At 38.6% G+C, this 11870-nt stretch overlaps 1 annotated feature.

The window, feature by feature from the left end:
- Positions 2178 to 2404: a silencer, noted in NCBI's record as "fragment chr7:113608629-113608855 (GRCh37/hg19 assembly coordinates)". NCBI's record gives its function as "represses an EF-1alpha promoter that drives an FKBP-Casp9 reporter gene in an ReSE screen in phorbol 12-myristate 13-acetate-treated (for megakaryocytic differentiation) K562 erythroleukemia cells {active_cell/tissue: K562(+PMA)}" and the evidence as "EXISTENCE:reporter gene assay evidence [ECO:0000049][PMID:32094911]".

Here is an 11870-nt window from a genome sequence, read left to right on the forward strand (position 1 = left end):
TGTTAATTGGGAGTTTGGAGAAAAGAGATTATTTTAGTTCAAAGAAGTTTTTCATAAAGATTCATCGTGGAAATGGTAAAAGATTTTACAAATACTGTTTGGAGGTTAAGAATGAGTCCTATATCAGCTGGATATGGTGGCTCACACCTGTAATCCCAGCACTGTGGGAGGCTGAGGTGGGTGGATCATTTTAGGTCACGAGTTCAAGCCCAGCCTGGCCAACATGGTGAAACCCTGTCTCTACTAAAACTATGAGAAATTAACTGGGCATGGTAGCACATGCCTATAATCTCAAGTACTGGGGAGGCTGAGGCAGGAGAATCACTTGAACCTGGGAAGCAGAGGTTACAGTGAGCTGAGCTTGAGCCACTGCACTCCACACTCCAGCCTGGGCGACAGAGTGGGACTCCACCCCCCAGCCCCAACACACCAAAAAAAAAGAAAGAAAGAAAGAAAGACAGACAGAAAGAAAGAGTCCTATACCTGCCTAAACTCTGAACTGAAGAGCCTGTAAGTTTACCAAATAAGTTCACATTTTTTAACATCTAAGTTTAGCAAGTACATATAGTTCAGTGTAATTGAAATTTGCCTTAATTTCTCTTTATTCAATAACTATTCTCTGACATTCTAGATTTGATTTTTCTGTTTCTGTTTGTGATTCCCCAGTAAGAATGTAGCATGTTCTCTTTCCTTCCCCTACAAATTGCTAAATTTGCAGCAGAAGACCAAGAGTTAAGGATTTAATTGATATTTTGAATCTGTCATGCAACCACTCACTTGGACTCTCAGGCCTCTTGGTCCTATTTCAAGAGTGGCCTGGCCCACATAAGCCATAATATAGTTTGTAAATTGTCCAATTTAGCTGTTCAGCTGCTGTAGTCTAAAGTAAAAAATATGTAAGTGGGTCAGCTCTAAAATTAATTCAGCCTAACTTTGCCTGAAAACACTAAGAATATTACCATCCTGAGGGCCAAAATATCGCCTCCAAGCAGACTGAAACCATCCCTGGAGAACAATTGCCCAGGACGACATTTCCATGACATGTTCACTCTATTCCCATGTCTGCAGCTCTTGATTACAACCTAGGATGCTTGCATCCTGCTTACCAGAAAATACAGGTGTTAGCTTTAACTGATGTGCAAGTGAGAATAGGCTGATAAAATGAAGCACAGCTAAATAATAATCACAAGTAACATTTATTGAGCATCTACAATTTACCAGATGCTCATTTAATCTATTTACAATTCTATAGGAGAGAAGTTATTATTATGCTGCTTTACAGATATAGAAACTGGGTCTGGATCACAGGTAGAGCTGGAACTTGAACCATAGTCTCAAAATTCTGTGCCTTGAATTGCCACATCATACTACTTTTGTACATATGTTACTTTCCTCTGTGTATATTCCTCATTGATTAAGCACCTACTATGTGTCAGTCACCATGCTAGAGAGTATGAATATAAAATGAGGGATGAACAGAGTTATTGACTGAATTGTCCCCCACACCCCATCCAAATTTGTATGTTGAAGCCCCATCCTTTAATGAACTGTGTATTTGGAGATAGGGTTTTCAAGGAGATAATTAAGGTTAAATGAGTTCATAAGAGTAGGACCCTAATCCCATAAGGCTGGTGTCCTTATAAAAAGCAGAAAAGATACCAGAAGTGTGTGCACACAGACAACAGCCCATGTGAGGACACAATGAGCAATAGTCATCTACAAGCCAAGGAGAGAGGCCTCACCAGATACCAACCCTGCCAGAACCTTGATCTTGGACTTTCAGCCTCCATAACTGTACAATAATAAATTTCTGTAGTTTAAGCCACTCAGACTTATAATTTCATTATGGCAGCCCTAGCAGACTAATACAGAGATAGGTGCATAAGAATATGAAAAGAACGAATAGATGCATAAATTAAACATTTGAGGAGAATAAATTTCAACTTACTTCAATTAAAGTGTAAAGCTGAGTTATAAAATGTAATTCTTAGAGAATATACAGTTTCTTTATTTTTGTCTATAGCTGATCTGCTCTCCTTCAAGAGGCCCCATCTGTGGTTTCTTGGGAGAAGCATTAACTCATGGTCCAATCCAATTTAAAACTTAGTCCAAAATAACAAGTGAAAAAATATATTTTGGTAATATTCAGTAACTCCAGGAAGCTGTTTTCAATCTCTCAGATTTCTCACCCTTTTGTACCACCTCCCAGGTTCTTCTCCAATACAGCAAGTGGGTGTGGGATAAGGGTGACAGGGATAGGGGAGGTTCCTTTAGTGAAGAAGTCTGGATCCTCCAGTCTCCCATTAATGTTTCCAATTGCCTGTTTTCTGGGTGCTCTGTGGTCCTTCAACACTGGAATCTGAGCAAGGAAATTGTGAACCATTCTTTCAGCCTCTACAATGTGCCAGTATTATTCCCCTAGCAGGTTCAGCTTCACATTCGCTCATATCATTGCTATAAATACTAAGCTGAGTACCAGCCTAGGTGGTCCAGCACAGAAACACTCTACTACACTGCCAAGTTTTGGCAAGCTGCCAGTCAGACTCTTAGCTACCCTGGGGCCTATAATACACAGGAAAGGGTAAGAGTGAATTGGAAATATAAAATTTCAGGCTGTGCTTTTAAAATTTTAACACTCAGCTGCTACGGCTGAGTCCAAGCCAGGATGATACAAGGAAAAGTATGAGAGGGCCTGCATACCCAGGGTCTCAAATGAGGATAGGGTTGGGGGACAGGGGCAAAATCTCATTCTGCTCTCAGTGATATCTTTACTCACAGAAAGAATGAATCTGTTCATCACATTCTCCCGTCTCTGTTTTTCCTGCAACATTTCTACAGGACCGGAAAGGGACAGGCTTTTTCTCTATCCTCTTTCTATCTAGAACCCTTATGGAAAAGTCTATGGATGAGGCTCCCAAGTCTATGCTAACAATAGATATAATGGAATTTGAACACTGAATTCCCAATCACTGAAAAACCAATTAACTTACTGAAAATTCTGTTCTTGAATACTTAATATTACTTCAGTCTTCTTCAGGAAGAAGTCTTAATCTACATCAAACTAGAAGGATCTCTTCAATGGAATGTAGTCCAGAAAGGCAAAAGAGAAAGCCACGTAAATTATGTTCAACGTACAGATTCTATCACACTTTCAGTTTGCTAGAAAGATAGACATAAATGATTGATTCTGTCTTTAAAATGCTTTCTGGAAGAAATAACATTTGAGTTTAACCTAGAAGGAAGAAATAAATATTTGTTAAAATATTTTAGGAGTGGCTCATTTGCAAAATGCACCACCAGTGGTTCCTTTCCAAACTGGACATATTTTATATCATTGGATAATAAACAGCCACACCAACAGGAAAACCTGAGACTTACGGATCACACCCAATAAATACAAAATAGTTAAAACTGTTTCATTAGTTCACAAATACTATAAAGAACCTATTGCATCCTAGGAATTATGCCAAGTGTTATCAAAAAGAAAAGTTACACTCTCTGCTGTCAAGCAATACACAAGCCTATTATTGAAGATGTTTAGCTTTCAGTGGGACAAACATATTTCAGAAGAAATGTGGAGTTGTCATCACCAAGTAGTGTTAAAAATAATTTTCCAAATGATGAAAGTTAAACATTTCTTAGCAAAATCAGGACTAATCCTTGTATTAGTGTCCCATCTATCCAGCTGTACAGGGTCGCAGAAGCAGCACAGACAGCAACTTGCTTGCATTTCGTAAGAAGAAAGACAGGCCGGGCGCAGTGGCTCACGCCTCTAATCCCAGCGCTTTGGGACGCCGAGGCGGTTGGATCACGAGATCAGTAGATTGAGACCATCCTGGCTAACTCGGTGAAACCCCGTCTCTACTAAAACATACAAAAAAATTAGTCGGGCTTGGTGGCGGGTGCCTGTAGTCCCAGCTACTCGGGAGGCTGAGGCAGGAGAATGGCGCGAACCCGGGAGCTGGAAGTTGCAGTGGGCGGAGATTGCTCGACAAAAAAAAAAAAAAAAAAGAAGAAGAAGAAGAAAGATGCCAGAAAGGGTGACCAAATATATCTATAGGAAAGTTCATTGAAACATTATATAAAGAATAGGATATATGTTGGTACAAAGATGATTATTGTAAATATATTTAGGAAGATCAATGAGACTTAATTGCCTGTCCAATAGGTATGTTTAAGTTTATAAGAAAGAATTTACCTCCTCATTATTCTTAAATTTTATAGCACTTTAAGAAAAGTTCACAAAATGTAATTCTGAAAATATATAAGCATAGAATCATGATTTATAGAGTAAGGAATCTTTTTTATTTCTTTAACCCAGAGGTCCGCAACTTTTTTGGCACCAGAGACCAGTTCCGTGGAAGACAATTTTTCCATATATGGACAAGGGACAAGATGGTAATAGTTTCGGGATGAAATTGTTCCACCTCAGATCATCAGGTGAAGGGGATGCAAGGCATGTCTTACATGGTGGCAGGAAAGAGAGAGCACAGGGGAAACTGCCACTTTTAAAACCATCAGATCTCGTGAGAACTTCCTCACTATCATGAGAACAGCATGGGTGAAACCACCCTTGTGATCCAGTCACCTCCCACCAGGGTCCTCCCTCAATACTCAATATGTGGAAATTACAATGAGATTTGGGTGGGGACACAGAGCCAAACCATATCACAGAGGGATCACAACTGTATCATTCAGGGTTCCCTAGAGGGACAGGACTAGTAGGATAGATGTACATATGAAGGGAAGTTTATTAAGGAGTGTTGACTCACATGATCACAAGATGAAGTCCCACAATAGGCCTTCTGTAAACTGAGGAGCAAGGAAGCCAGTTCGAGTCTCAAAATCTCAAAAGCAGGGAAGCCAACAGTGCAGCCTTCAGTCTGTGGCTGAAGGCCCGGTAGCCCCTGGCAAACAACTGGTGTAAGTCCAAGAGTCCAAAAACTGAAGAACTTGGAGTCTGATGTTCGAGGGCAGGGAGCATCCAGCACGAGAGAAAGATGAAGGCCGGAAGACTCAGCCAGTCAAATCCTTCCAACTTCTGCCAGCTTTATTCTAGACATGCTGGCAACTGAATAGATGGTGTCCACCCAAATTGAGGATGGGTCTGCCTCTCTCAGTCCACTGACTCAAGTGTTAATCTCCTTTGGCAATACCCTCACAGATGCACCCAGGACAATACTTTACATCCTTCAATCCAATCAAGTTGACACTCAATATTAACTATCACAATGGCTGTACTTATAGTCTTCATGACTTATCATACTGTCCACTAATGCCAATAAAAGTAGGACTTTCTTTAAACACATCTTGAATGTGTATACAGCAATGTCTTGACGAAAGTAGAGTTCAGTACATGTATACTTTGAACATAGAAAGGTGGCTTCAAAATTATACATAAATAGATGTTAAGGGCAGCAATCTGGCTAAGCCAGGAAACTTGTCAGGAAGCTACATTTGCAGAGCAAGTGTACTGTTCTTATTTAGATTGTATATTATATTCAATAAAATGGCAATATTTTGTAGGATTTTATTTAGCCTTTATATAAGTATGGCAAAGCATAAGTCCTTCACATGAAAAAATATTATTTTTATTAGGATATAGTTATAAATATTGCTGGTAATTAACATAAATTCTGTCTCTTCCAAGCCATTCTGTGGTAATGCCTCTGTAGACACATAAAATCACATGTAGATAGCTCTCATGTCTCTCTTTCTTACTCTAACCCTTCCCTAAACTTGAGTTATATATTTACCTTCATTCTCAAAGGCAAATTAAAACTACTATGTCCAAAATTATATCTGTAATTTACCACACTGTCCCCAAAGGTTTTTCTCTTCAACATTTTCTGTTTCAGTTGATGGTACTACCAGCTAGCCAGTCAACAGACTATGTTCATTATTAACGCTTTCTTTGTCCCCACCTTCAATTATTAATACCTCTGAATGGCATCCATTCAGCCATTCAGACCAGAAGTGTGGGGTGGGCTAATGTCCAATATCCCATCTATTTAGCTAGTAAGGAAGTGTTAGTAGCGCTGGAGACAGTTCTTCCTCACCTCTGAGCCAATCAATCACCGAGGCCTGTAGATGTTACCACCTGAAAAGTATCTTGGTTGTATTCTCTCAGGTGGTGAAGGAGTAAGTTCAAACTGCGCTTTGTGTAAACCTGAAGAGTTGGGAAATTAATTAAATAGGAAAATAGAGTGTTGGTAATAGGGATAGTTTGCAGCATGCAAAGGCAGAATGGGGATGCCGCCCAAATAACCAAAATGGAAATAATATTGAGGAGCAATAAGATCCTGGAAGTGGTTCATCAGGCAAATGCTATGTCCCTCAAATTAGGTATAAGACCTGAATGAGTCATGAATAGAAGACAACAATGTTAAGCCTCTGTGCTATAAGCCTAGGATCTTATAACTGTCCTCTCACTAAGGACAAGATTAGTTAAAGGATCAGAGGCAGTACTAAACAAACATCTATACATATACATACATACATACATTCAAAAATAAGCAAACAAATCAGCCATATATAGCAATATAAAAAATAGCAATAGCCATCAGCTATTTGTCTTCTTCAGTGCACAAATTCTGAAATCCAACTTCTTAAGTTCTAATTTAAGCTCCACCATATAATGTATAATCTTGGACAAGTAAGCTACTCTGAGTCTCATCTGTAAAACAAAAATAATAGCACCATCTATACCATAGGATTGTTGAAAGGCTTCAGTGAGATAACTCCAGGAGCTTTTGGAACAAAATTTTAGCACATAATTATCACTCAATAAAGAAAATATTTTATTATTACCATTATTACTTGTTGAAACACAATGTAACATAACGTTTAACTGGAACTGATTTCTTCTAAAATACCAATCTATATTTTTTTTTCTGTCATCACTATATAGATGACAATCTAATCTGCAGTTTAGGTCCAAAGAGCTCACCTTTGCCTTACTTACTTTTGTTTCCTATTTGGACATCTCCACTTAAATGGCCTTTTTTACATTTTGCAAACCTATGACTTAATACATCATCTTCTCTTAGTTACTTTATGCAGCAATATCATCAACAAATAGTGGTGAGCCTTGAATGAAGAGACTCCAAACGGATGCAAGACAGTTTTCCTCCCTTTAAGGTAAGTATAACTCTATTCTTCTCAACTATGTTATAAACTCCTTAAGAATTTAGAACACTTTTTTTTTTTACTATTGTAAGGCTGGGTATCTCATCATATATGAAATTTATATGTTGGGGTTGGGGAAGGAAAGATGGTTCTCTCATTTTCTCAACAAGAGTGTTGCCAGAAAAATACTTTTGTATTCATGACCAAGTCTTCCTACCTAGAACCTCCCTTAAGAGATAAATTATCATGGAGTCCTTAAGGGCAGCCTCCCTCAGAAAAGCAGGCAAGCAGCCAATTATCTACAGAAAAATTATTTGAGACTTTCTTTTTTTTTTGAGACGGAGTCTCACTCTGTCGCCCAGGCTGGAGTGCAGTGGCACAATCTCGGCTCACTGCAACCTCCGCCTCCTGGATTCAAGCGATTCTCCTGCCTCAGCCTCCCGAGTAGCTGGGACTACAGGTGTGTGCCACCACACCTGGCTAATTTTTTGTATTTTTAGTAGAGACAGAGTCTCACTGTGTCAGCCAGGATAGTCTCGATCTCCTGATCTCGTGATCTGCCCACCTTGGCCTCCCAAAGTGCTGGGATTTATTTGAAACTTTTAAAAGGAAAAGTTACCTTCCTCCAAGAGGTTTGTACCCAGATAGGTATCAGTCTAGAACCATCCTTAACCCAACATTCCTCGGATCAAGTAGCATGCTGGAAATACTGACAAAGCTGAGATAAAGGGCTCCAGATCTCCTGGAAGGAAATGGAATTGTCTTGACTTTAAGAAGCTCAGCAGACAACTGGAGCAGCTGATAGTGGTGCTGCAGTAGAGCTGTCCATTGCTCAGTTTGAAGATGGCCAAGCATCAGAGCAGTATCAGCATACAGTAAGAGGCAATGACAGTGTCCTCATCAGGCACCTCCACCCCACACACATCCCCACCTCCTGTGCATATGAAGCACAGTGGTAGTCAATGGGGAGGAGTGATGGGCTGTGAGGGAAGGAAAAGATAGTGCCTGAATCCAGGTGATAGAGGAAGACCTAATCCAAGGCAAGGGTGATGGGAATCATTACAGCTTGGCAGTTATAGACTGATTTTTCACAAAAAGTAAAGGACCTGAAAATCAAAGATATTGATGGTGAAAGAGTGGAAGGGTAACAAAAGTTGACGAAGAAATCCATTTCCAGACATGGAGAAACCAAGAGTCAAATGATAAATAGAGGGATATAGAGGTATGGGCCAAAGAGAGAGATGAGATTTTTAGGAGAGTGCCTGTAGATAATAGTGCTTTTAGTAAAGCACCAGATACCTGGGTAGCAAAGTGAGTGGTGAGATAATGCAAGCACTGCTGTCTGTATGCTTATTTGAAGATGTGATGCAAGGAAAGACTGGCATTAGCAAAATTATTAAAGAAGTTATTTCAGTGTTTCAACATTCATTTTGAAATTTCTATTTCCTTACACCATCATGAGATTATCAAATGCCTTTGACTGTTTCCTCTGCTTGAAAGATCTTCCCTCAGATGTTTCATTTTCTGGTTTCCTTCAGCCTTTCCCATGAGATAACCCTCCTTTCCGGGAAACACACACACACACACACACACACACACACACACACACACTTTTTATCCCCTACTTCGCATTATTTTTCTCCTTAACACATGCCAATATTTAATATACTATATGCATTTTATCATTTATCATTGTTTATTGTCTATCTTTCCCATAGAATTTAAGCTCTATGAGGACTGGGATTTTTGTCTGTCTTACTAACTACTCTATCCTCAGCACCAAGGATCAGTGCCTGATGCATTATATGGGTTCTATAAATATTTGTTGAATGGCTAATTCAATTACTAGATATGCTGTTTATCATTTCAAAAGGCTGGACTCCTTTACCAGAGATTTTCATGCTCCCAAGCCACCACTGGGGAATTCCATCCAGTGACTCTTGTCTTAAATGATTCCTGATATACTTCCCTGCTACACTGAAAATGACCTGCCCTGTGTTCCTTTCTCTCGAAATTTTTCTAGATGATTAGGAATTATTCTGAAAATTATCTGTGTAAATATAGATGGCTAAAATTAATGTATAGCATAAAGCAGACACTATTTTCCATTGTGGGGGCCCTCAGTGACTCATCCCAAATAATAAAAAATGTGAAAATTTCAAGAAATGTGACAGTCATGTGAAGGAAAATTTTAGGGCCAGAGAGTGCCAAACATACACTGTAGAAAGCTGACTTTGCCTTCTATGTCTAGGTTAAACCCTAGGTCTTAGAATGTATCACCTTGGCATAAAGCTGATGTATTGTAAAAATGAAGATCAGTACATTCAATAGCCATTTACTAAAATGGGCAATTCATTTAGGAAATACTTTACAGCACAGCTATGGGCTTTTTAGCCAAGACATTTTTACTCAACTATTTTTACTCAATTTCCGTTTGTTTAGTCCACATGGAAGAGAGAGTAGCTAGTTCTTGTTATCCATCTTTCTCACAGTAATCGTGTGAAGGTTTAATAAAGGACAATACAAAACTTTTACAAGTATAAACTGCTAAAGAACTAATGATAGCTTTATTCTTAAGTGCTTCCATGTCACCTTGTTATTTCTTGCTTGTCATTCACTAATTAAATGCCAGTTTCAAATAGCTACATGGCTAAAAGTGTTATTTGACATAATCTAAAATAGAATCTAAGTACAACCAATTGTGCTTGGATACTGATCCTGGTTGTCCTCCCATCCCTCACCTTCAGCACAGTCTCTCTAGTCTTCCTTTTATCTTCCCCTCCCTTCTACCACACATCTGTCAATTCGCATCTCATTCCTCACCATCCCAAAGAATAAGTCACTGCTCGCCACTCTCCATCTGTGCTTATTTAACATTACTGGTTTCATTCCCATTGTCCTATTGTTGTACCTTGTCACCTACAGATTTCACACTGGGTTGGTTTTTTTGGTTTTCATTTTATTTTAACACTGTGAATTGCATTATGGAAGATAAATAGACCAGAACCAGGAACCAGTGTTAAATGAACTCACTGTGTATAAAGTGTATGGTGAAAAGATAGTAAGAGGTGAAGCTTGATAACAAGGGTAACTCACGGTCAAAATTTACTAGTGGTAGATTACATTCACCCACACTAGTAGCTAATGTATAATTTTGCCAATGGAAAAACATTAATTTGCAGAATAAGCGTTTTAGTAGAATGGGTAATTCATGACATTAACCTACTCCGATTATTCCCTCATTTTATCTCAAACAGCATTAAAACCATGATCGATGTTTTTTGAGAAAGATTCCATAAAATTTAAAAAAACCCAGAAAATTTATTATAACAAATGACACTTGTCTGTTACTTTCCACAACATTACTTTAAGGCAAATGACTAAGTTACAGAGAAGTCTGATGCCCTGCTTGAGTTTGCAAAGGTAGTCAATAGCCTTCAGTACTCAAACTGTGGTATTTGGAATTCATACCCAGTGATTCTTTTACTCTGTTATATTGATGTCTAAATCTGTATGTTTTCTGACTTGTGTTCCAAGAAAAAAAAATCATATTGTGTATTAGAAAGTTGATATTAATTTCCTCCCTTTTGGATAAACACTTGCCTGATGCATTACTATAGTATATGAGTACAGTGCAGGTCATCTGCATTTCAGGTAAATTCCTTGGAATAAATACAGACTAACCAAGCTATTTCCTTTACACATAAAACAGGCACATTGATGAGATTATATTCAATTTTGTACAAAATTTAAATACTTTTTCTGGTGCAACTTTCATAGTTGTCACAGAGAACAAGCATCACTGCATGCTGTTCATATTAGACACAGAAATAGAAGCAGACATAACCTGAAGCTGAATTCTTTATACTCTCTGTGTCCTAAAAATCAAGTGTCAGTTTATCATTAGTTTTTCTCAATAATCCCCCTTAAGACTTCTCAAACACCTTAAGAAAACCAATCTAAATCCCCACGTTTTAATCAAAACAGTTCCTCAAAGAATTCTAAGAAATGTGATTTGTGAAATATGAACTAATTGTTATGCCCCTTTTCCTATACTGTTTTCACAAGAGGCTGTATGCCAGCTCCACTTATTATCTGAATTCTGCACAATATATGTTCTAGTAGCTATTCAAAGGGAATCAAATTTAATTCGAATTTAATTTTCACTATTTGAATATTCCAAAGCACTTGTTTTACATACAGAACAACTATATATATATATATATATATATATATATGTAGAGAGAGAGAGATCTATACACAGCACTATGTAATCCCAGCACTCTGGGTGAGGCAGATATATATATACACACACATATACAGAGAGAGAGAGAGAGAGAGAGAGAGATGGAGTCTCACTCTGTCGCCCAGGCTGGAGTGCAGTTGCAGTGGTGTGATCTCAGATCTCGGCTCACAACAACTTCCACCTCCCAGGTTCAAGCGATTCTCCAGCCTCAGCCTCCCGAGTAGCTGAGACTAAAGGCACACACAACCGTGTCTGTCTAATTTTTGTATTTTTAGTAGAGACAGGGTTTCACCATATTGGCCAGGCTGGTCTTGAACTCCTGACCTCAAGTTATCCACCTGTCTCAGCCTCCCAAAGTGCTAGGATTACAGGCGTGAGCCACCGTGCCTGGCCCACATATATTGTTAAGAAAAAGCTAGACTCTAAAAATCGTAGTAAATATGTTTGAAGATTCTTAAGACATCTTATCAACTTTGTTTACAAACACCAGATTTTT

The sequence above is a fragment of the Homo sapiens genome, chromosome 7 (genome assembly GCF_000001405.40).
Source record: "Homo sapiens chromosome 7, GRCh38.p14 Primary Assembly".
Classification (NCBI taxonomy): Eukaryota; Metazoa; Chordata; class Mammalia; order Primates; family Hominidae; genus Homo; species Homo sapiens.